At 51.9% G+C, this 25,018-nt stretch overlaps 1 protein-coding gene across 3 annotated transcripts in view, besides 3 other annotated features; it reads left to right on the top strand.

The window, feature by feature from the left end:
- Positions 1–23,124, top strand: part of PLIN3 (perilipin 3) — a 29,327-nt gene extending 6,203 nt beyond the window's left edge. The window contains exons 2-8 of one of the 3 annotated variants that reach the window (NM_001164194.2): positions 54–136; positions 1,441–1,639; positions 1,793–1,875; positions 9,200–9,449; positions 13,575–13,774; positions 16,672–16,797; positions 21,929–23,124. In NM_001164194.2, coding sequence (NP_001157666.1) covers positions 71–136; positions 1,441–1,639; positions 1,793–1,875; positions 9,200–9,449; positions 13,575–13,774; positions 16,672–16,797; positions 21,929–22,273 — 1,269 coding nt within the window. In that variant the 5' untranslated portion in view covers positions 54–70 and the 3' untranslated portion in view covers positions 22,274–23,124. Of the gene's footprint in view, positions 1–53; positions 137–1,440; positions 1,640–1,792; positions 1,876–9,163; positions 9,450–13,574; positions 13,775–16,671; positions 16,798–21,928 lie in introns of all 3 variants that reach the window. The other 2 variants (NM_001164189.2, NM_005817.5) reach the window with 2 other exon arrangements.
- Positions 9,619–9,708: a silencer, noted in NCBI's record as "silent region_9908". NCBI's record gives its function as "represses an Ori minimal core promoter by ATAC-STARR-seq in GM12878 lymphoblastoid cells {active_cell/tissue: GM12878}" and the evidence as "EXISTENCE:reporter gene assay evidence [ECO:0000049][PMID:35858748]".
- Positions 19,994–20,073: an enhancer, noted in NCBI's record as "active region_13785". NCBI's record gives its function as "activates an Ori minimal core promoter by ATAC-STARR-seq in GM12878 lymphoblastoid cells {active_cell/tissue: GM12878}" and the evidence as "EXISTENCE:reporter gene assay evidence [ECO:0000049][PMID:35858748]".
- Positions 20,494–20,713: an enhancer, noted in NCBI's record as "active region_13784". NCBI's record gives its function as "activates an Ori minimal core promoter by ATAC-STARR-seq in GM12878 lymphoblastoid cells {active_cell/tissue: GM12878}" and the evidence as "EXISTENCE:reporter gene assay evidence [ECO:0000049][PMID:35858748]".

Genomic DNA, 25,018 nt, shown 5'->3' with positions numbered 1-25,018 from the left:
CTCCTGGAAGGTGGGGCCAGGCAGGCTGTACCTGACTGTTCCTCTCTCCTCAGCGTCTGCTGCAGAGACCATGTCTGCCGACGGGGCAGAGGCTGATGGCAGCACCCAGGTGACAGTGGAAGAACCGGTACAGCAGGTGAGGAAGGGCCGGGACCAGGGACTGCCCCGACCCTGTGATTCCCGTGCAAGGAGGCTTCCCACCCCAGGGTGCCCTGGCAGGGAGCCAGGGATCTGCCGGCAGCTCACGGAGCCAGAGGGATTTATTCCTCAGTGGGGTATGGACCACTCACTGGTGTCCCCAGTTGGGAGGGGGGAATCTCAAAGGCCCTTGGAGGGCCTGAGGGAGCAGGGTTCTGTCTGAAACTACCTGCCCTCCCCAACCCCTGAGCCAAATCATCCTCACCTCTGAAGGCTCTCTCAGGGACGTCCTAGGAGGCCAGTTTCTATTCCAGATCTCTCATCCTCAGGTGATTTTATTTTATGTATATATTTTTGAGATGGAACCTTGCTGTGTCGCCCAGCCTGGAGTGCAGTGGTGACATCTTGGCTCACTGCAACCTCTGCCTCCTGGGTTCAAGCAATTCTCCTGCCTCAGCCTCCCAAGTAGCTGGGGTAACAGGCATGTGCCACCACGCCCGGCTAATTTTTGTATTTTTAGTAGAGACGGAGTTTCACCATGTTGGCCAGGCTAGTCTCAAACTCCTGACCCAAAGTGACCCACCCGCCTCGGTCTCCCAAAGTGCTCGGATTACAGGCGTGAGCCACTGCTCCTGGCCCCAAAAATAATTAAAATTTAAAAATCAAGTGGTGCGCTGGCTGTGACCCATGGGCTGTGGTCTACAGCCCCCGGTTTAGACCCTAACTGCCATGAGAATGGAACTGTTGTCCCTTATCACCACCTGGCACATCGCTGGGATAAAGTGCAGGCTCATGTAAATAGCCTGTGTTCAAGGAAGCACGTGGGCTGAGTGCGGTGGCTCACGCCTGTAATCCCAGCACTTTGGGAGGCTGAGGTGGGCGAATCACGAGGTCAGGAGTTCAAGACCAGCCTGGCCAACATGGTGAAACCCCATCTCTACTAAAAATACAAAAAAATTAGCTGGGCGTGGTGGCACCCGTAATCCCAGCTACTCAGGAGGATGAGGCAGGAGAATCGTTTGAACCTGGGAGGTGGAGGTTGCAGTGAGCTGAGATCGCATCAGTGCACTCCAGCCCGGGCAACAGTGCAAGACTCCGTTTCAAAAATAAAATAAAAATAAAGGAAGCACGTGGCGAAACCCCAAGGTTCCTGGCTTGTGCAACTGCCTGGATGCAAAGTGTGGGTAAACTGAGCCGTTTCACTGGCCAGGAGTAAGAGCAAAACTGCAGGGCACCCTGAGTTTCCGGCTGAGCTCCCCATCTTCCCCCACCCAGTTTGCCTGAGCCACTTCTCTCCTGTAGCCCAGTGTGGTGGACCGTGTGGCCAGCATGCCTCTGATCAGCTCCACCTGCGACATGGTGTCCGCAGCCTATGCCTCCACCAAGGAGAGCTACCCGCACATCAAGACTGTCTGCGACGCAGCAGAGAAGGGAGTGAGGACCCTCACGGCGGCTGCTGTCAGCGGGGCTCAGCCGATCCTCTCCAAGCTGGAGCCCCAGAGTGGGTGAAGTCCCAGGGGGCACTGAATTCCCCTCCTGGTCATTTCCCTGGGTGGGGAGTAGGGGGGTCTACCCAGCTCTTGGTCCTGTCCCCCTGAACCATTACTAGGTGACCTTCCAGCAGTCACATTTGCGTCTTAATTGTTGTTGGCAGTTGCATCAGCCAGCGAATACGCCCACAGGGGGCTGGACAAGTTGGAGGAGAACCTCCCCATCCTGCAGCAGCCCACGGAGAAGGTAACGATGTCCGTCCTCAGGGGCTCTGTCGAGACAGGGACCTACCTGGGTGTGGAGTGCGCTGGTCCCAGCTTAACTAGACAAGCTTGATGGCATCCTCCCTGCTGCCTCTCCTGTCGGTTCCCATCCCCACCCCGAATCCACTCCCCACAGGGTAGCTGGAGGAATAATTGCAAAGCCAGCCAGATTACAGGCGCCTGCAACCATGCCCATCTAGTTTTTGTATTTTTAGTAGAGATGGGGTTTCACCATGTTGGCCGGGCTGGTCTCGAACTCCTGACCTCAGGTGATCCAGCTGCCTCAGCCTCTCAAAGTGCTGGGATTATAGGAATGAGCCACGGTGCCCAGCCCACTTGTTTTTATAATAAAGTTTTATTGGCACACAGCCATGCCCATTTATTTACATATTGTCTATGACTGCTTTCACCCTACAATGGCAAGGTTGAGTAGTTGTGACAGAGACTGTGACCCACAGTACTGAAAATCTTAGTTACGTGGCCCTTTACACAGAATGTTGCCACCTCCATAACTTATTAGTCAGAAAAGGTTGGCGGCAGGAAAGTCAAAACATCAAAACACCATGTTCCTGGCCGGGCGCGGTGGCTCATGCCTGTAATCCCAGCACTTTGGGAGGCCAAGGCGGGAGGATCACCTGAGGTTGGGAGTTTGAGACCAGCCTGACCAACATGGAGAAACCCCGTCTCTACTAAAAATACAAAATTTATCTGGGTGTGGTAGCGGGTGCCTGTAATCCCAGCTACTCGGGAGGCTGAGGCAGGAGAATTTCTTGAACCCTGGAGGCGGAGGTTGCAGTGATCCGAGATCATGCCATTGCACTCTAGCCTGGGCAGCAAGAGTGAAACTCCATCTCAAAAAAAAAAAAAAAAACCAAAAAAACACCATATTCTGGCCAGGCGCGGTGGCTCATGCCTGTAATCCCAGTACTTTGGGAGGCTGAGGTGGGCGGATCACAAGGTCAGGAGATCGAGACCATCCTGGCAAACACAGTGAAACCCCATCTCTACTAAAACTACAAAAAAAAAAATTAGCTTGGCGTGGTGGCGTGTGCCTGTAGTCCTAGTTACTCGGGAGGCTGAGGCAAGAGAATCACTTGAACCCAGGAGACGGAGGTTGCAGTGAGCTGAGATCGCGCCACTACACTCCAGCCTGGGCGACAGAGCGAGACTCTGTCTCAAAAACAACAAAACAAAAAAAACACCATGTTCCAAACTGTGTCCTGCCCCTCAGCAGCTGGGTGGCCCTCACACAAGTTACTTTGCCTCTGTGGGCCTCACTTTTTTTTTTTTTTTTTTTTTTTTGAGACGGGGTCTTGCTCTGTTGCCAGGCTGGTGTGCAGTGGTGCAATCTCGGCTCACTGCAACCTCCACCTCCGGGTTCCAGCGATTCTCCTGCCTCAGGCTGCTGAGTAGCTGGGGTTGCAGACGTCTGCCACCACGCCTAGCTAATTTTTGTATTTTTAGTAGAGACGGGGTTTCACCAAGTTGGCCAGGATGGTCTCAATCTCTTGACCTCGTGATCCTCCCGCCTCGGCCTCCCAAAGTGCTGGGATTACAGGCATGAGCCACTGTGCCCGGCCCCCTCTTTTTTTTTTTAAGATGGAGTTTCGCTCTTGTTGCCCAGGCTGGAGTGCACTGGTGCAGTTTCAGCTCACTGCAACCTCCACCTCCCAGGTTCAAGCGATTCTCCCGCCTCAGCCTCCCGAGTGGCTGGGATTACAGACATGTGCCACCACACCTGGCCAATTTTTGTATTTTTAGTAGAGATGGGGTTTTACCATGTTGGTCAGGCTGGTCTCGAGCTCCCGACCTCAGGTGATCCACCTGCCTTGGCCTCCCAAAGTGTTGGGATTACAGACATGAGCCACCAGGCCCAGCCTGGGTCCCACTTTCTTTTCTACAGAATGGCAATGCTGACCTGGGGTTAACACCTGAAGGCCCAGAACAGCACATGGCTTGTAGCAAATGTTGGCTCTTAACATTAAAAAAAAAAATTTTTTTTTTGAGACAGGTTCTCACTCTGTCACCCAGGGTGGGGTGCAGTAGTGTGATCATGGCTCAACTGCAGCCTTGAACTCCTGGGCTCAAGTGATCCTCCCATCTCAGCTTCCCAAGTAGCTGGGACCACAGGCATGCACCACCATGCCTGGCTATTTTTAATTTTTTGTAGAGACGAGTTTTCACCATGTTGCCCAGGCTGTTCTCAGACTCCTGGGCTCAACAGATCCTCCTGCCTCAGCCTCCTGAGTAGCTGGGACTAGGTGCATCCACCACGCCTGGCTAATTTTTGTACTTTTTGTCAAGACGGAGTCTCGCCATATTGCCCAGGCCGGTCTCCAACTCTTGGGCTCAAGCAATCCTCCTGCCTCAGCCCCACAAAGTGCTAGAATTATAGGAGTGTGCCACTGTGCCCTACCTCAGTTTCCCTTAATCACCGCTTTTTAAAGACCCTGTCTCTAAATACAGCCACATTCTTACCCCTGGGGATCAGGACTTCAACATAAGAATTTGGGGTTGAGGGGGCCATAATTCAACCTATAACAGCCTGGGATGAAAAAATGAGGCACAGACCAGGCGTGGTGGCTCACGCCTTACTCCCAGCACTTTGGGAGGCCGAAGCGTGCAGATCACTTGAGATCAGGAGTACGAGACCAGCCTGGCCAACATGGTGAAACCCTGTGTCTACTAAAAATTCAAAAATCAGCCAGGCGTGATGGTGAGTTCCTATAATCTCAGCTACTCGGGAGGCTGAGGCACGAGTATCACTTGAACCTGGGAGGCAAGAGGTTGCAGTGAGCCGAGATCGTGCCACCACGCTCCAGCCTGGGCAACAGAGCAAGGCTCTGTCTCAAAAAAAAAAAAAAAAACACCCTCCTTCAGATAAGTGTGAGGCTTAATCGGTTATTGTTTGTCTCCCCAGCTGGGACCAGGGCACAGGCTGCCTGCTTTGTGGCTGTGTCCAGTGCCCAGCAGGCAGCCTGGCACAGGGTAGATGCTTATTTTTTTAGTTTTTTGAGACAGAGTGTTGCTCTTGTTGCCCAGGCTGGAGTGCAATGGTGCGATCTCGGCTCACTGCAACCTCCGCCTCTCGGGCTCAAGCGATTCTCCTGCCTCAGCCTCCCGAGTAGCTGGGATTACAGGCATGCACCACCATGCCTGGGTAATTTTATCTTTTTAGTAGAGATGGGGTTTCTCCATGTTGGTCAGGCTGGTCTCGAACTCCCAACCTCAGGTGATCTGCCTGCCTCGGCCTCCCAAAGTGCTGGGATTACAGGTGTGAGCCACCGCGCCCTGCAGATAGATGCTTATTAAGTATTCAGGTGCTCCATGTCCGCTTCAGCCCAGTGGTTACAGAAGGGCCACCCTCGGGTACCACCTGCTTGTGTCTGGGTCTGTAGCATCAGAAATAGGTGATCCCTGGGTTGGAGGCAGGACAAGCCAGCCGCATCCCAGCATCCTTGGACTTTCCCTGAGACCACCTGCAGGGACAGGCAGCTTATTCATCCACTTGCTATTGAGTGCCTACTGTATGCCGGGGAGCTGTGCTGTCCCATCATGGTTAGACTTCCTCACCTCCCATTTATGCAGAAATGGCCTTAGCTGGGAAACAGCAGAGCGGTTGTCAACTTGCATTTTTTTTTTTTTTTTGAGACAAGGTCTTGCTCTGTAGCCCAAGCTAGAGTGCAGTGGCGTGATCTTGGCTCACTACAGCCTTGACCTCCTAGACTTAGGCAATCCTCCCAGCTCTCAGCCTCCTGAGAAGCTGGGACTACAGGTGTGCACCACCACACCTGACTAATTTTTTAATTTTTTGTAGGAATGGGGTCTTGCTATATTGCCCAGGCTGGTCTCAAACTCCCAGGCTAGCCAGGCACGGTGGCTCACGCCTGTAATCCCAGCACTTTGGGAGGCCGAGGCGGGCGGATCACGAGATCAGAACAACAGAGCGAGACTCCATCTCAGAAACAAAACAAAAAACAAACTCCTGGGCTCAAGCAATCCTCCTGCCTGCCTTGGCTTCCCAAAGTGCTGGGATTATAGTTGTGAGCCACTATGCCCAGCCATGCCTACACCTTATCAGCAAAGGCCAATAGTGGGCTTGGCTGAGGGGGGATGGAAACTGCTGAGCTTACAGGAAGATGGGAAACGTCAACCAGGAGCCCCCGTCTCAGGGCCAAGCCCTTGCTTCCCTTTCTCTCCCACTGATAGCGTAGGAGGCCAACAGTCTTTCTGTTTATAGAAGGGATAAGCTCAGGGTGAATTCTTCAAGGTCACTGAACAGAGCAGCAGCTGGGAGCTTTTTTTTTTTTTTTTTTTTTTTTTCAGATGGAGTCTCGTTCTGTTGCCCAGGCTGGAATGCAGTGGCGTGATCTCAGCCCACTGCAACCTCTGCCTCCTGGGTTCAAGTGATCCTCCTGCCTCAGCCTCCCAAGTAGCTGGGATTATAGGCGCCCATCACTACGCCCAGCAAATTTTTGTATTTTTAGTAGAGATGGGGTTTCACCATGTTGGCCAGGCTGGTCTCGAACTCCTGACCTCAGGTGATCCAGCTGCCTTGGCCTCCCAAAGTGCTGGGATTATAGGCGTGAGTCACCGTGCCCGGCCAATTTTTGTATTTTTTGTAGAGGTGAGGTCTTACTATGTTGCCCAGGCTGTTCTCACACTTCTGGGCCCAAGCGATCCTCCCACCTCAGCCTCCCAAAGTGCCGGGATGACAGGTGTGAGCCACCGTGCCTGGCCTGCTGTGAGCTCTTGACTTTTTGAGAGGTGCAATGCTCTCTCAATTCTGGGCCCTATGAGTTTTTTCCCCCTTTGTGAAGAGGTAACTTTCCCCAGGTTCTGGGGGACGGTGGTGTTGTCAGAGCTAGATTTTAATCCGGGCCAGTGTGAGAACGTGCGTGTTCACTGAGTAGTGGGGCTGTTAGAACCTGACTCTCATCGGGGGCGTTGGCTCATGCTGGCTCACACAGTGAAACCCCGTCTCTACTAAAAATACAAAAAATTAGCCGGCCGTGGCAGTGCACGCCTGTAGTCCCAGCTGCTGGGGAGGCTGAGGCAGGAGAACCGCTTGAACCTGGGAGGTGGAGGTTGCGGTGAGCCGAGATAGTGCCACTGCACTCCAGCCTGGGTGACAAGAGCAAAAACTCTGTAAAAAAAAACAAAAACAAAAACAAAAAACTTGACTCTCACACCCTCTTCCCCCACAAAAAGATGAACTCTCATGAGTACAAGAGGACTGAGTCTTCAGGGAAGCACCAACTTGGGTAGGAATGGGGCAGGTGTGGTTTTCAACTTTGCGGAGAGCCCTCTGCATAGAGATCTGTCTAAAGACTTAGCTTCAGCTGGACACAGTGGCTCATGTCGGTCATCCCAGCACTTTGGGAGGCCAAAGCAGGAGGACTGCTTGAGGCCAGGAGTTCGAAACCAGCCTGGGCAACATGGAGAGTCCTTGTCTCTACAAAAAATAAAAAAATAAGCCGGGTGTGGTGGTGCGTACCTGTAGTCTCAGCTACTTGGGAGGCTGAGGTGGGAGGATCGCTGGAGCCGAAGAGGTCAAGGCTTGAGTAAGCTATGATTGCACCACTGCACTCCAGCCTGAGTGACACAGTGAGACCCTGTCTCAAAAGAAAAAAAAAAAAAAGACTTAGATTCGAGAACAGCAGGTATTGACAGATGAGCGCTCACCATGTGCTGGGTGGGGCGTAGTCAAAGGATTCCATGCAAAGCTTTTTTTTGTTTGTTTGTTTTTGTTTTTTTTTGGAGACAGAGTCTCTCTCTGTCACCCAGGGTGGAGTGCAGTGGTGCAGTCTCGGCTCACTGCAAACTCCACCTCCCGGGTTCAAGGGATTCTCCCGCCTCAGCCTCTTGAGTAGTAAGGATTACAGACATGCACCACTGCACCCGGCTAATTTTTTGTATTTTTTGTCTCTACAAAAAATAAAAAATAAGGCTGGGCGCAGTGGCTCATGCTTGTAATCCCAGCACTTTGGGAGGCCCAGGCAAGTGGATCCCCTGATGTCAGGAGTTCAAGACCAGCCTGGCCAACATGGTGAAACCCGTCTCTACTAAAAATACAAAAATCGGCTCGGCATGGTGGCATGTGCTTGTAATCCCAGCTACTTGGGAGGCTGAGGCAGGAGAATCACCTGAACCCACGTGGCAGAGGTTGCAGTGAATCGAGATTGCACCATTGCACTCTAGCCTGGGCAACAAGAGTGAAACTCCGCCTCAAAAAAATTAATAAATAAATAAAAATAAAAGATAAAAAATAGCCACGAGTGGTGGTACGTGCCTGTGGTCACAGCTACTCGCTGGGGAAGCTGAGGTGGGAGGCTCACTTGAGCCCAGGAGGTGGAGTTTGTAGTGAGCCGAGATTGTGCCACCGCACTCCACCTGGGTGACAGAGGGAGACTCCATCTCAAAAGAAAAAAAATTAAATTGAAAAAAAAAAACAAAAAACAGGCAGAGTGCAGTGGCTCATGCCTGTAATCCTAGCACTTTGGGAGGCTGAGGTGGGCGGATCACTAGGTCAGGAGTTTGAGACCAGCCTGACCAACATGGTGAAACCCCATCTCTACTAAAAATACAAAATTAGCCTGGCGTGGTGGCGCATGCCTGTAATCCCAGCTACTCGGGAGGCTGAGGCAGGAGAATCGCTTGAACCCAGGAGGCGGAGGTTACAGTGAGCCGAGATCACACAATTGCACTCCAGCCTGGGCAACGAGAGTGAAACTCCATCTCAACAACAGCAACAACAAAAAACAATTAGCCAGGCATGGTGGCGGGCACCTGTAATCCCAGCTGCTTCGGAGGCTGAGGCAGGAGAACTGCTTGAACCCGGGAGACAGAGGTTGCAGTGATCTGAGATGGTGTCACTGCACTCCAGCCTGGGCAAGAGAGCAAGACCCTGTCTCCAAAAAAAAAAAAGAAAGAAAGAAATGAGGTACAGGGAGGTAGAGTGACTTTCCTGAAGCCACACAGCTGAGAAGTAGCTAGCTAGGAACGGAGCCTAGGTAGTCTGGCTGCAGAGTATGAGGTCATGCCCACAACTCCAGACTCAGGGTCACCTGGGGGATGGCGCTCCCTGCCTCAGTCTCCCTGGAAGTTGGGGTGCAGGGGAGGGGTGCCCACATACAGAGGGAAGACGGAGATGCTGGGGTCACCCGGGGGATGGCGCTCCCCGCCTCGGTCTCCCTGGAAGTTGGGGTGCAGGGGAGGGGTGCCCAGATATGGAGGGAAGGCAGAGATGCTGATGCTGTTGCATCTCCTAGGTCCTGGCGGACACCAAGGAGCTTGTGTCGTCTAAGGTGTCGGGGGCCCAAGAGATGGTGTCTAGCGCCAAGGACACGGTGGCCACCCAATTGTCGGAGGCGGTGGACGCGACCCGCGGTGCTGTGCAGAGCGGCGTGGACAAGACAAAGTCCGTAGTGACCGGCGGCGTCCAATCGGTCATGGGCTCCCGCTTGGGCCAGATGGTGTTGAGTGGGGTCGACACGGTGCTGGGGAAGTCGGAGGAGTGGGCGGACAACCACCTGCCCCTTACGGATGCCGAACTGGGTAAGTGTGGCCAGCGGGCTGCTCTGGGACCCCTCCCCAGGCCCCCTGACCGGAAGCCGCTGTCGGCCTCCTGGGGTCTGTGCCGACACTCACTGCCGCCTCGTCCCTGCCACTTCTCCCGGGCATCTTGGAATCTCATCACTAACGCAGTCCCCTCTGTCCTGCTCACCAGCTCCCGCCCTCATCCACCACAGTCTCCTCCCCACAGCAGCCACCAGAGGGCGCCTGTGACCACCTGAGTCAGAACCCGTCCCTCTGCCCACAGCCCTCCATGGACCCCACCTCCCCTGGGGTCAAAGCCCAAGTCCTCGTCACAGCCCACAAGGTCCTGCACAACCTCCCCTGTCCTCTCCCCGCCCTCCTCCTCTTCCCCCTTCGCCACTCCGCTCCTGCATAAATACGTGACTAAACTTGAGATCTCACTGAACTGTGACAACAATGCTGGTGTTCCCGCCAGGCCAGACATCCCACTCCAGTCATCTCGGTCACATATTCGCACTCCCTGCACTGTTTATTTGATATTCTTCTTTAATTAATTTATTTATTTATTTAGAGACAGAGTCTCGCCCTGTCACCTAGGCTGGAGTGCAATGGCGTGATCTCAGCTCACTGCAACCTCTGCCTCCTGGGTTCAAGCGAGTCTCCTGCCTCATCCTCCTGAGTAGCTGGGATTACAGGCACCTGCCACCACACAGCTAATTTTTTGTATTTTTAGTAGAAACGGGGTTTCACTATGTTGGCCAGGCTGGTCTCGAACTCCTGACCTTGTGATCTGCCCACCTCGGCCTCCCCAAGTACTGGGATTACAGGTGTGAGCCACCATGCCCGGCCCTTTTTTATTTATTTGTTTTAGAGATAGAGTCTCACTCTCTTGCCCAGGCTGAAGTGCAGTGGTGCGATCATAGCTCAATGCAGCCTCCAACTCCTGGGTTGAGGCGAGCCTCCCATCTCAGCCTCCGAGTAGCTGGGACTACAAGCACACACCATCACGCCCAACTAATTTTTCTTTATTTAATTTTTGGTAAAGACGGGGTCTCCCTCTGTCATCCCAGCTGATCCAGAACTCCTTGGCTGGAGTGATCCTACTGCTTTAGCCCCCCAAAGTGCGGGGATTGGGATTTTTGCAAATAAGTAGCTTAGGATATAGGCAGGGCGCGGTGGCTCAGCCTGTAATCCCAGCACTTTGGTGGGCCGAGGTGGGCAGATCACCTGAAGTCAAGAGTTTGAGACAAGCCTGGCCAACATGGTGAAACCCGGTCTCTACTAAAAATACAAAAATTAGGCCGGGCACGGTGGGTCACGCCTGTAATCCCAGCACTTTGGGAGGCCAAGGCCGGGCGGATCACAGGTTCAGGAGATCGAGACCATCCTGGCTAACACAGTGAAACCCCATCTCTACTAAAAAAAAAAAAAAAAAAAAAAAAAAAATTAGCCGGGCGTGGTGGCGGGTGCCTGTAGTCCCAGCTACTCGGGAGACTGAGGCAGGAGAATGGCATGAACCTGGGAGGCGGAGCTTGCAGTGAGCCGAGATCATGCCACTCCACTCCAGCCTGGGCAATAGAGCTAGACGCCGTCTCAAAAAAATAATAATAATAAAATAAACATTAGCCAGGTGCGGTGGCAGGCGTCTGTAATCCCAGCTACTTGGGAGGCAGAGGTTGCAGTGAGCCAAGATTGGGCCGCTGCACTCCAGCCTGGGCGACAGAGTGAGACTCCATCTCAAAAAAAAAAAAGCATGGGTACAGTAGGAGCAGGATTAAATAAATACATGCAGCTGGGCGCAGTGGCTCATGGCTGTAATCCCAGTACTTTGGGAGGCTGAGGCGGGTGGAGGTTGAGGTCGGGAGTTCGAGACAAGCCTGACCAACATAAAGAAACCCTATCTCTACTAAAAATACAAAATTAGCCAGGCATGGTGGCGCATCCCTGTAATCCCAGCTAACTCGGGAGGCTGAGGCAAGAGAATGGCTTGAATCTGGGAGGCAGAGCTTGTGGTGAGCCAAGACTGCGCCATTGCACTCCAGCCCAGGCAACAAGAGTGAAACTCCATCTCAAAAAAAATAAAGGCCAGGTGTGGTGACTCATGCCTGTAATCCCAGCACTTTCGGAGGCTGAGGCAGCTGGATCACATGGTCAGGAGTTTGAGACCAGCCTGGCCAACATGGTGAAACCCCATCTCTACTAAAAATACAAAAATTAGCCAAGCATGGTGGCACATTCCTGTAATCCCAGCTACTCAGGAGGCTAAGGCAGGAGAATCACTTGAACCCGGGAGGCGGAGGTTGCAGTGAGCCGAGATCATGCCATTGCACTCCAGCCTGGGCAACAGAGTGAGACTCTGTCTCAAAAAAATAAATAAATAAATAAATAAGTAAATAAATACATGCATATACACATATGAACCTACGAACATGGGATGAGGCCAGGCGTGGTGGCTCACACCTGTCATCCCAGCACTTTGGTGGGAGGATTAGTTAAGCCCAGTAGTTCCAGACCAGCCTGGACAACATAGACCCCATCTCTACAAAAAATTTAAAAATTAGCTGGGTGTGCTAGTGCACGCCTGTAGTCCCAGTTGCTATTTGGGAGCTGAGACAGGAGGATCACTTGAGCCTGGGAGTTCAAGGCTACAGTGAGCTATGATTGCACCGCTGCACTCCAGCCTGGGCAACAGAGCGAGACTGTACTTCAAAATATAAAAACCGACAAAACAAACAGATCTAAACATAGAAAAGGTACAGGAAGCCAGGTGCAATGGCTCACACCTGTAAACCTAGCACTTTGGGAGTCTGAGGCGAGCAGATTGCTTGAGTCCAGGATTTCAAGACCAGCCTGGGCAACATAGTGAGACCCCATTCCTACAAAAAGTACAAAAATTAGCCAGGTGTCTTGCCGTAGTCCCAGCTTTATGTAGTCCCAGCTACTCGGGAGGCCAAGGTTGAAGGATAGCTTGAAGCTGGGAGGTTGAGCCTGCAGTAAGCTGAGGTCGTGCCACTGTACTCCAGCCTGGGCAACAGACCGAGACCCTGTCTAAAAAAAAGAAGAAAAAGTACAGGAAAAATACGGTATATATGGTATTATAATCTTATGGGACCACTGTAGTATATGCAGTCCATTGTTGGCTGAAATGTCATTATTCTCTTTTTTTTTTGAGACGGAGTCTCACTCTCACCCAGGCTGGAGTGCAGTGGTGTGATCTTGGCTCACTGCAGCCTCCACCTCCCGGGTTCAAGCGATTCTCCTGCCTCAGCCTCCTAAGTAGCTGAGATTACAGGCTAGTGCCATCACGCCTGGCTAATTTTTGTATTTTTAGTAGAGATGGGGTAGTGCCATGTTGGCCAGGCTAGTCTTGAACTCCTGACCTCAAGTGATCTGCCCGCCTTGGCCTCCCAAAGGGCTGGCATTACTGGCATGAGCCACTGCACCCGGCCTACGGTATTATAATCTTATGGGACCTCTGTAGTATATGTGATGTATTGCTGGCTGGAATGCTGTTATTCTCTGCAGGACTGCATAATGAACATTCAGGCCTATATTCACAGGTTGTCCAAGGCAGGTCTGGCCTGCAGGCCATAGCTTGAGACCCTCCTGCTAGTCTAAGGTCTCTGATTCCTGTGAGGTTTAATTTTCCTTATCCCCGTTTTGCAGATAGGGAAAACCAAGGCAGAATCCTTTGCTCCCAGGCCTTCGAGGTTTATAAGAAGTAGAACTGGGTTATAAACTGGACAGCATGGCCAGGTGTGGTGGCTCACGCCTATAATCACAGCACTTTTGGAGGCCAGTTCGGATGAATCACTGGAGATCAGGAGTTCGAGACCAGCCTGGCCAACATGGTGAAACCCCGTCTCTACTAAAAATACAAAAATTAGCTGGGCATGGTGGCGGGCGCCTGTAATCTCAGTTACTCGGGAGGCTGAGGCAGGATAATCACTTGAACCCGGGAGGCAGAGGTTGCAGTGAGCCGAGATGACACCACTGCACTCCAACCTGGGCGACAGAGCGAGACTCCATCTCTAAATAAATAAATAAATAAACTGGACAGTGTGATTCTTGGGACTGTCTGCATGGGACGAGCCCAGCTGTGTGTTCTGGTCTTCACAGAGACCCTTCTCCTTTTCCTTGCAGCCCGCATCGCCACATCCCTGGATGGCTTTGACGTCGCGTCCGTGCAGCAGCAGCGGCAGGAACAGAGCTACTTCGTACGTCTGGGCTCCCTGTCGGAGAGGCTGCGGCAGCACGCCTATGAGCACTCGCTGGGCAAGCTTCGAGCCACCAAGCAGAGGGCACAGGAGGCTCTGCTGCAGCTGTCGCAGGTCCTAAGCCTGGTGAGGTTCCAGGGGGTCGGGGCCCTGAGCCAGCAGCCTTCACCCCGCAGCAGACACCCACCCAGAGCTCAGTGGCTTATTGCTCACCCCTCTGCAGGCTGGCAGGGCCATTCCCGCTTGCTCCTGGCACTGTATCTGGTTGTACACTCATTTGCTCAGGATGCTGCCACAAACCACACTGTCTGGGGCCGGGCACAGTGGCTCACACCTCTTTGTGTGAGTCCCTCAAGTGCTTTGGGAGCCCAAGGCAGGAGGATCGCATGAGTCCAGGGGTTTGAGACCCACCTGGGCAATATAGCAAGACCCCATCTCTACAAAAAATAATTTAAAACAATTAGCTGGCTGTGGTGGTGCGTGCCTGTAATCTCAGCTACTTGGGAGGCTGAGGTGGGACGATTGCTTGAGCCCAGGAGTTGGAGGCTGCAGTGAGCTATGATTGTGCCACTGCACTGCAGCCTAGTCAACAGAGCAAGACCCCATCTCAAAAAAAAAAAAAAAATCGTGGCCAGGTGCGGTGGCTCATGCCTGTAATCCCAGCACTTTGGGAGGCTGAGGCGGGTGGATCACGAGGTCAGGAGTTCAAGACCAGCCTGGCCAACATGGTGAAACCCCATCTCTACTAAAAATACAAAAATTAGCCAGGTACAATGGCAGGCACCTGTAATCCCAGCTACTCAGGAGGCTGAGGCAGGAGAATCGCTTGAACCCGGGCGGCAGAGATTGCAGTGAGCCGAGATCATGCTACTGCTCTCCAGCCTGGGTGACAAGAGTGAGACTCCATCTCAAAAAAAAAAAAAAAAAATTCGTACTGTCTGGGAAATGTAAACAACAGATATTTATTTTCTCACATTTCTGGAGGCTGGAAGTCCAAGATCAGAGTGTCCTTCTGGGGCCTCTCTCCTTGACTCGTAGACAGCCATCTTCTCTCTGTGTATTCACGTGGTCGTCCCTTCCCTCTGTGTATGTCTGTGTCCTAATCTCTTTTTTTTCTTTGAACGGAGTCTCGCTCTGTTGCCCAGGCGGGAGTGTAGTGGTGCAATCTCAGATCACTGCAACCTCCACTTCCCGGGTTCAAGTGATTCTTGGGCCTCCACGTCCCGAGTAGCTGGGATCACAGGCACTTGCCACCATGCCTGGCTAATTTTTGTATTTTTAGTAGAGATGGGGTTTCACTATGTTGGCCGGGCTGGTCTCAAACTCCTGACCTCAAGTGATCCACCCACCTCAGCCTCCCAAAGTGCTGGGATTACAGACACGAGCCACCACGCACAGCTCTAATCTCCTTATTGAAGGAGACCAGCCCTTTATGGATTGGAGCCCACCCTAATGGATAGCTTCATTTACCTTTATGACGATTTTTTTTTTTTTTTTTCCAGAGACAGGGGCTCACTCTGTTGCCCAGGCTGGAGTGGATGATCATGGCTCACTGCAGCCTCTTAGGTGCACCCATCTTGGAGCATATGTCTGCCATCATTCCTCTTTATTTATTTTTCTTTTCTTTTTGTGGCGCGATCTCAGCTCACTGCAAGCTCCGCCTCCTGGGTTCATGCCATTCTCCTGCCTCAGCCTTCTGGTAGCTGGGACTACAGGCGCCGGCCACCATGCCTGGCTAATTTTCTTTTCTATTTTTAGTAGAGATGGGGTTTCACAGTGTTAGCCAGGATGGTCTTGATCTCCTGACCTCTTGATCCGCCCGCCTCGGCCTCCCAAAGTGCTGGAATTACAGGCGTGAGCCACCGCGCCCGGCCTTTTTTTTTTTTTTTTTGAGACGGAGTCTCGCTCTGTCACCCAGGCTGGAGTGCAGTGGCATGCAGTCTCTGCTCACTGCAAGCTCTGCCTCCTTGGTTCACACCATTCTCTTGCCTCAGCCTCCCGAGTAGCTGGGACTACAGGCGCCCACCACCACGCTGGGCTAATTTTTTGTATTTTTAGTAGAGATGGGGTTTCACCGTGTTAGCCAGGATGGTCTCGATCTCCTCACCTCGTGATCCACCCGCCTCGGCCTCCCAAAGTGCTGGGATTACAGGTGTGAGCCACTGCGCTCGGCCGACTATTTTTCTTTTCTCTTAAACTTTATGTAATATGTAGAGATGAGATGTCACTGTGTTGCCTATGCTGTTCTGGAGCTACTGAGCTCAACTGATCCAACCCCCTTGGCCTCCCAAAGCGCTGGGATTGCAGAAGTCAGCCTGCTTCGTTCCTTTGGAAGGCTGAGTCATATTTCATTACAAGCACTTTTTTTTGTTTTTTGTTTTTTGTTGTTTTGAGATAGAGTCTGGCTCTGTCACCCAGGCTGGAGTGCAGTGGCGCAATCTCAGCTCACTGCAACCTCCGCCTCCCAGGTTCAAGCGATTCTCGTGCCTCAGCCTCCTGAGTAGCTGGGACTACAGATGTGCACCACCACACCTGGCTAATTTTTGTATTTTTAGTAGAGACGGGGTTTCACCATGTTGGTTAGGCTGGTCTCGAACTCCTGAACTCAGGTGATCCACCCACCTCAACCTCCCAAAGTGCTGGGATTACAGGTGTGAGCCACCATGCCCAGCCTACAAGCACTTTTTAAGCCTTTGCTGGTTCCATCTGCTCATGTCCCATTGGCCAAAGCCAGCCACGTGTCCAGGCTCCCTTGCAAGCGCAGGAGAAATTGACACAATGGGAAGAGCTACAGGGGATGTGCAGCCCTTCTTTGCACCAACCACACAGAGCCTGAGTATGTCAATGATTAAACCAAAGGCCCCAGAGCTCACCGTAGCCAGGAAACCCTTCCTCCCTCCCTCCCTTTCTCTTTTCTAGACTGTCATGTAAGTCAGATGCTGGAAGGATTCCTTGGGTTCCTTCTGGAATCCCGTCTCTCCCAGGGGAGCCTCCTTCCCTCACTTCTCTCTCCCCTGCCCCAGATGGAAACTGTCAAGCAAGGCGTTGATCAGAAGCTGGTGGAAGGCCAGGAGAAGCTGCACCAGATGTGGCTCAGCTGGAACCAGAAGCAGCTCCAGGGCCCCGAGAAGGAGCCGCCCAAGCCAGAGGTACCCATGAGGGGACTGGGGGGTGGCCTAGGGTACTTGGAGTCCCGATGCCACTCTCTACACCTCTGCTTCATGGGCCTACCTGCTTCGAATGATTTCCCTAGCCTCACCTGCTTTTGGAAGCTAATGACACCTCCTTCAGGAAGCCTGCCTTGATTTCTCCTCTTGGGCATGCATAGGTATGGCTTCTGTTTTTTGTTTTGAGATGGAGTGTTGCTCTGTCACCCAGGCTGGAGTACAATGGCATGATCTTGGCTCACTGCAACCTCCACCTCCTGGGTTCGAGTGATTCTCCTGCCTCAGCCTCCCTAGTAGCTGGGATTACAGGCGCTCACCACCACGCCTGGCTAATTTTTTTGTATTTTTAGTAGAGACAGGGTTTCACCATGTTGGCCAGGCTGGTCTTGAACTCCTGACCTCAAGTGATCCGCCCTGCCCAGCCTCCCAAAGTGTTGGGATTACAAGCGTGAGCTACTGAGCCCGGCCCCTAGCAGCAACTTCTGACTAGTATTCTCCGGCCCCCTCCACTCTATCTCAAGCCTTGGCCTCTTGTGTTCTCTAATGGGTCTCGCTGCCTGTCCCACCACCCACTTAAGCTCCCCAGGGGCAAAGGAAGTTTGCAGTGAGCCGAGATCGCACCACTGCACTCCAGCCTGGGCAACAGAAGGAGATTCTGTCTCAAAAAACAGAAAATGTCCTGAAATTAGATGAAGGTAGTATTTGCCCAACCTTGTGAATGTATTAAAAACCAATGAATCGTACACTTCAAAGGGCGAGTTTTAGGGTGTGTGGATTATATATCAATTTTTGAAATAGTTGTTTATTTATCTTTGAGACAGGGTCTCACTCTGTTGCCCTGGCTGGAGTGCAGTGATGCCATCACAGGTCACTGTGGCCTCGCCATTGCAGGCTCAGGCAATCCTCTCGCCTCAGCCTCCCAAGTAGCTGGGAACACAGGCGTGTGCCACGATGCCTGGCTAATTTTTTTTTTAATTTTTAGTAGAGACAGGATCTCACTGTGTTGCCCAGGCTGGTCTTGAGCTCCTGGTGTCAAGCAATACTCCCACTTCAGCCTTCCAAAGCACTGGGATTACAGGCATGAGCCACCACACCCGACCCCAGATCAATTATTTATTTATTTATTTATTTATTTATTTTTTGAGATGGAGTCTCGCTCTGTCACCCAGGCTGGAGTGCAGTGGTGTAATCTCAGCTCACTACCAGCTCTGCCTCCCAGGTTCACGCCATTCTCCTGCCTCAGCCTCCCGAGTATCTGGGACTACAGGCGCCCGCCACCAGGCCCAGCTAATTTTTTTTGTATTTTTAGTAGAGACGCGATTTCACCGTGTTACCCGGGATGGTCTTGATCTGCTGACCTTGTGATCCGCCCGCCTCGGCCTCCCAAAGTGCTGGGATTACAGGCGTGAGCCACCGCACCCTGCCTATTTATTTATTTATTGCTCTGTTGCCCAGGCTGGAGTGCAGTGGCACAATCTCAGCTCACTGCAACCTCTGCCTCCTGGGTTCAAGTGGTTCTCCTGTCTCCACCTCCCCAGTAGATGGGATTACAGGCATGCGTCACCACGCCCGGCTAATTTTTGTACTTTTTAGTAGACACGGGGTTTCGCCATGTTGGCCAGGCTGGTCTCAAACTCCTGACCGCAGGTGATCCGCCCACATCGGCCTCCCAAAGTGCTGGTATTACAGGCGTGAGCCACCGTGCCCGGACCCAGATCGATTTTTTAAAAACTGAAATGAGATCATATCAAAAGCACATAGTAAGGGCTACAAAAGTGACATGCATAAAGATATGGTGAATATCTCTATAAATGCAAATTGTTCGGGAGGCAGAACTAGACCACCTGCTGCCTAAAACTGTCTCCTGTTTCCCCGACTGCTAAGCACAGCAGCCAGAATGACTTTTCAAATGAAAAAACCAGATCTTATCTCTCTCACGTGGGCACTCTCCCGTAATCCCTCGCTCAAGTCCAGAGTCCTCCAGCTGCCAGGGCTCTGGGCAAAACCCTACCTCCCAGTGTGTGCCTTTTTTTTTTTTTTTTTTTTTTTTGAGATAGAGTCTCACTCTGTCACCCTGGCTGGAGTGCAATGTCATGATCTCGGCTCACTGCAACCTCTGCCTCCCGGGTTCAAGCGATTCTCCTGCCTCAGCCTCCCGAGTAGCTGAGACTACAGGCACCTGCCACCACGCCCAGCTAATTTGATTTATTTATTTATTTTTGAGACAGAGTCTCACTCCGTCACCCAAGCTGGAGTGCAGTGGCGTGATCTTGACTCACTGCAGCCTCCACCTCCTGGGTTCAAGCAATTTTCCTGCCTCAGTCTCCCAAGTAGCTGGGATTACAGGCGCCTGCAACCACACCCAGCTAATTTTTTTGTATTTTTAGTAGAGACAGGGTTCTGTCATGTTTGCCAGGCTGGTCTAGAACTCCTAACCTCAAGTTATCCACCCGTCTTGGCCCCCCAAAGTGCTGGGATTACAGGCCTGACCCACTGCGCCCGGCCTAATTTTTGTATTTTTAGTAGAGATGGGGTCTCACCATGTTGGCCAGGCTGGTCTCGAACCCTGTCTGTGCTCATCTCACTCTCTGGCCAAGGAAATTTTCAAGGACCTGATTTCAACTATGTTCTCCCCGGATGGTTTACAACTTCTGCCTAGAAAGTTCTTCCAGGCTGTCCCAGCCTGGCTTCCACTTTTTGTTTTTTAACAGCTTTTTTTTTTCTTTTTTTTTTTTTTTTTTTTTTGAGATGGAGTCTCGCTCTGTCGCCCAGGCTGGAGTGCAGTGACGCGATTTCGGCTCACTGCAAGCTCCGCCTCCCGGATTCACGCCATTCTCCTGCCTCAGCCTCCTAAGTAACTAGGACTACAGGCTCCCGCCACCATGCCCAGCTAATTTTTTTGTGTTTTTTTAGTAGAGATGGGGTTTCACCATGTTAGCCAGGATGGTCCCGATCGTCCTGACCTCATGATCCACCCTCCTCGGCCTCCCAAAGTGCTGGGGATTACAGGGGTGAGCCACCGCACCCAGCCTTTTTTTTTTTTTTAACAGTTTTATTGAGATCTCATTTGCATACCATACAAGTCACGCATTTAAAGCATACACATCGCTGGTTCTCAGCATTGTGCAACTATCCCTATCTCATCTCATGCCCCTAAAAAGAAACCCTTTTCCCATCAGCAGTCACTGCCCCATTTCCTCCTCCTCCCAACCACGTATCCCCTCCTGTCTCTGGATGGGCCTGTCCTGGACATTTCATAGAAATGGGATCACACCCTGTTTGGCCTTTTGTGTCCGGCTTCTCGCGCTGAGCGTGACGTCCTTAGGGCTCACCCATGCTGTGGCCTGGGTCAGAGCCCCATGACGTTCCATGGCTGAGTCACATTCTGTTGTATGGGTGGATCACATTCTGTTCACCCATTTATCAACCGAAGGACACTTGAGTCGTTTCTACTTTTTGCTGTGCCCCTGTGTGCATGTCTTTGTGTGTGGACGTATGTTTCCGTTTCTCTTGTGCACACACCCACAACTAGAATTGCCGAGTCATATGATGATTCTATGGTTTAACATTTTGAGTAACCGCTAGACTGTTTTCCAAAGTAACTATACCACCAGCAATACACGAGGCTTCCAATTTCTCCGCCTCTTGACTGACAGTGGGTATCATCTGATAGCCTCTGGGGTTTTTGTTTGTTTGTTTGTTTTTGAGACAGAGTCTCGCTCTGTTGCCCAGGCTGGAGTGCAATGGCATGATCTTGGCTCACTGCAACCTCCGCCTCCTGGGTGCAAGCAGTTCTTCTGCCTCAGCTTCCTGTGTAGCTGGGATTATAGGCACATGCCACCACACCCGGCTAATTTTGTATCTTTAGTAGAAATGCGGGTTTCGCCATGTTGGTCAGGCTGAACTCCTGACCTCGGTGATCCACGCACCTTGGCCTCCCAAAGTGCTGGGATTACAGGCATGAGCCACCATGCCAGGCCTCCTTATGGTTTTGATTTGCATTTCCTCAATGACTTATAAGGTCAAACAGCTTTTCATGTGCTCTCCCTATATCTTCTTTGGTGATTTGTCTATGCCCTTTAAAGAATTTGACTAGTGGCCAAATGCAGTGGCTCGTGCCTGTAATTCCAGCATTTTGGGAGGCTGAAGTGGGCAGGTCACTTGGGCCCAGGAGTTTAAGACCTGGGCAACTTAGTGAGATCCTGGCTCTACAGAAAATTTTAAAAATGTAGCTGGGCGTGGTAGTGAGTGCCTGTAGTCAGGCAGGCTGAAATGAGAGGATAACTTGAGCTCAGGAGTTACAGGCTGTAGTAAGCTATGATCACGCCACTGCACTCCAGCCTGGGCGACAAAGTGAGATCCTGTTTCTAATTAAAAGAAAAGAGTCTGGGCGCGGTGGTTCATGCCTGTAATCTCAGTACTTTGGGAGGCCAAGGAGGGCCGATCACTTGAGGTAGAGTTCAAGACCAGCCTGGCCAACATGGTGAAACCCCATCTGTACTAAAAATGCAAAAGTTAGACGGGCGTGGTGGCACGCGCCTGTAGTCCTAGCTATTCGGGAGGCTGAGGTAGGAGAATCGCTTGAACCTGGGAGGCGGAGGTTGCAGTGAGCCAAAATCATGCCACTGCACGCCAACCTGGGCAACAGAGCAAGACTCTATCTCAAAAAAAAAAAAAAAAAAAAGGGCCGGGCACGGTGGCTCACGCTTGTAATCCCAGCATTTTGGGAGGCCAAGGCAGGCGGATCACGAGGTCAGGAGATCAAGACCATCCTGGCTAACACGGTGAAACCCCGTCTCTACTAAAAATACAAAAAATTAGCCTGGCGTGGTGGTGGGCGCCTGTAGTCCCAGCTACTCGGGAGGCTGAGGCAGGAGAATGGCGCGAACCTGAGAGGCGGAGCTTGCAGTGAGTTGAGATTGTGCCACTGCACTCCAGCCTGGGCGACAGGGCGAGACTCCGTCTCAAAAAAAAAAAAAAAAGTTTCGCCTATGGAAAGCGTTTGCCCCAAGGTCAGTGGTAGAACCCCTCTTCCCCTCTTTCCCTGGCTTCAGCTCCGATCGCCTTTCCTGAAACAAATGGTCCTGATTGGTGTCCCCATCTCCCTTCTCAGCAGGTCGAGTCCCGGGCGCTCACCATGTTCCGGGACATTGCCCAGCAACTGCAGGCCACCTGTACCTCCCTGGGGTCCAGCATTCAGGGCCTCCCCACCAATGTGAAGGACCAGGTGCAGCAGGCCCGCCGCCAGGTGGAGGACCTCCAGGCCACGTTTTCCAGCATCCACTCCTTCCAGGACCTGTCCAGCAGCATTCTGGCCCAGAGCCGTGAGCGTGTCGCCAGCGCCCGCGAGGCCCTGGACCACATGGTGGAATATGTGGCCCAGAACACACCTGTCACGTGGCTCGTGGGACCCTTTGCCCCTGGAATCACTGAGAAAGCCCCGGAGGAGAAGAAGTAGGGGGAGAGGAGAGGACTCAGCGGGCCCCGTCTCTATAATGCAGCTGTGCTCTGGAGTCCTCAACCCGGGGCTCATTTCAAACTTATTTTCTAGCCACTCCTCCCAGCTCTTCTGTGCTGTCCACTTGGGAAGCTAAGGCTCTCAAAACGGGCATCACCCAGTTGACCCATCTCTCAGCCTCTCTGAGCTTGGAAGAAGCCTGTTCTGAGCCTCACCCTATCAGTCAGTAGAGAGAGATGTCCAGAAAAAATATCTTTCAGGAAAGTTCTCCCCTGCAGAATTTTTTTTCCTTGTTAAATATCAGGAATATAGGCCGGGTGCGGTGGCTCACACCTGTAATCCCAGCACTTTGGGAGGCTGAGGCGGGCGGAACACCTGAGGTCAGGTGTTCGAGACCAGCCAGGCCAACATGGTGAAACCCCGTCTCTACTAAAAATACAAAAAAAAATGAGCCGGGCATGGTAGCAGGTGTCTGTTATCCCAGTTAGGAGGCTGAGGCAAGAGAATCTCTTGAACCTGAGAGGCGGAGGTTGCAGTGAGCCAAGATCGCGCCATTGCACTCCAGCCTGGGGGACAAGAGTGAGACTTAGTCTCAAAAAAAAAAAAAAAGAAAAAAAAATCAGGGATATAGTTCATATCCCACTTCTTTGTTTACACCGATGTCCCTGAATATCAGCCTGTAGCTAATGGACTTGGGATTTCTGGTCTAAGTGGGCCTCCTGGGGATGGGGTGGTACACTGAGCTTCTGAGCCTCATTGTAGAGTAGAAAGGTACTGGGGCCTGTGTGGTAAGCCTTGTTGAAATGCTCTGGTATTCAGTATTGCCTTAATAAACTTCACCCACAACTGCATACAGGCCATGTGTGTACGTGTGTGTGTCTTCATCTGTCCCTGCTGCTAGAACAGAAATATCTTAGGCAGGGTAATTTATTTATTCATTTATTTATTTTGTAGAGACGGGGTCTTGCTATGTTGCCCAGGCTGATCTTGAACTCCTGAGCTCAAGCGTTCCTCTCACCACGTCCTCCCAAAGTGCCTGGCCAGGCTGGGTAATTTATGAGCAACAGAAATTGATTTCTCACAGTTCCGGAGGCGGGGAAGTCCAAGATCAAGACACTGGCAGGCCTGGCACAGTGGCTCACGCCTGTAATCCCAGCACTTTGGGAGGCCGAGGTGGGAGGATCACTTGAGGCCAGGAGTTTGAGACTGGCCTGGGCAACATAGCAAGACCCCATCTCTACACAAATTTTTTTTTTTTAAGTTAGCCAGGCATGGTAAGGTGGGAGGGTCACTTGAGCCCAGGAGTTTGAGACTGCAGTGAGCCAAGATCGCACTACTGCACTCCAGCCTGGGCAACAGAGCAAGATACCATCTCGGAAAAAAATCCAAGTGACAATCTACAGTGTTTCTCTACGGTAGCTACAGAGAAGGGGAACTTCAGGGACTTCTCCCAGGGACATGGAGAAGATACATTCTCAGTCTTACTAAATACTGCTGGACTGTTGCCCAAATCATTGTCAGTCTTTTCACTCCCACCCTAAGTCCTGAGAGGGTTCATTTCCCCCATCACCAACCACATGTTACTTTCTCTTTGTTAATCCATATTCAAGTTGAATTCATATGCACCCAAGTATATGAATCTTAAAGGGACAGTTCAATGAATGTTACATAGGAATCCACTCCCTATAACCAACAGCCACAGGGATTACTGGTGCGTGCCCCACCATGCCCGGCTAATTTTTGAATTTTACTAGAGACGGGGTTTTGCCATATTGGCCAGGCTGGCTTTGAACTCCTGACCTCAAGTGATCTGCCCGCCTCGGCCTCCCAAAGTGCTGGATTACAGGCGTGAGCCACTATGCCAGCCTTTTTTTTTTTTTTTTTCGCTCTTTTTTGAGACAGAGTTGTACTCTGTTGCCCAGGCTGGGGTGCAGTGGTACTATCTCAGCTCACCGCAACCTCCACCTCCCAGGTTCGAGTGGTTTTCCCGCCTCAGCCTCCCGAGTAGCTGGGATTACAGGCGTGCACCACCACGCCCGGCTAAGGCTGGAGTACAGTGGCACGATCTCGGCTCACCGCAAGCTCCACCTCCTGGGTTCACGCCATTCTCCTGCCTCAGCCTCCCGAGTAGCCGGGACTACAGGTGCCTGCCACTACAACCGGCTAATTTTTTGTATTTTTAGTAGAGACAGGGTTTCACCGTGTTAGCCAGGATGTAATTTTGTATTTTTAGTAGAGATGGGGTTTCACCATGTTAGCCAGGCTGGTCTCAAACTCCTGACCTCAAGTGATCTGCCCACCTCGGCCTCCCAAAGTACTGAGGTTACAGGTGTGAGCCACCACATCTGGCCCCACCTCATCCTCTTGAGTATCTGGGAACTACAGGCGTGCACCACCACACTCAGCTAAATTATACACACACACACACACACACACACACACACACACAGATGTGGGTCTTGCTATGTTGCCTAGGCTGGTCTCAAACTCCTGGGCTCAAGCGACCTCCCACTCAACCTCCCAAAGCACTGGGATTACAGGTGAGAGTCACTGCACCTGGCTCTCACCCGATCTTTTTCCCAATCCCATCAGATAGATGCTATTATCTCCAGGGAAAATGAGGTGTAATCCAGAGAGCCCACCCTCAGCCCCACCTCAGCTACTAATAGCTGAGTAGTAATTTGAACTCAGGCCAGGCATGGTGCCTCACGCCTGTAATCTCAGCACTTTGGGAGGCCAAGGTGG

This window comes from Homo sapiens, chromosome 19, assembly GCF_000001405.40.
Source record: "Homo sapiens chromosome 19, GRCh38.p14 Primary Assembly".
In the NCBI taxonomy this organism is placed as follows: Eukaryota; Metazoa; Chordata; class Mammalia; order Primates; family Hominidae; genus Homo; species Homo sapiens.
Note: the sequence above shows the minus strand (reverse complement) of the source record. Positions and strands in the feature narration are given on the sequence as shown.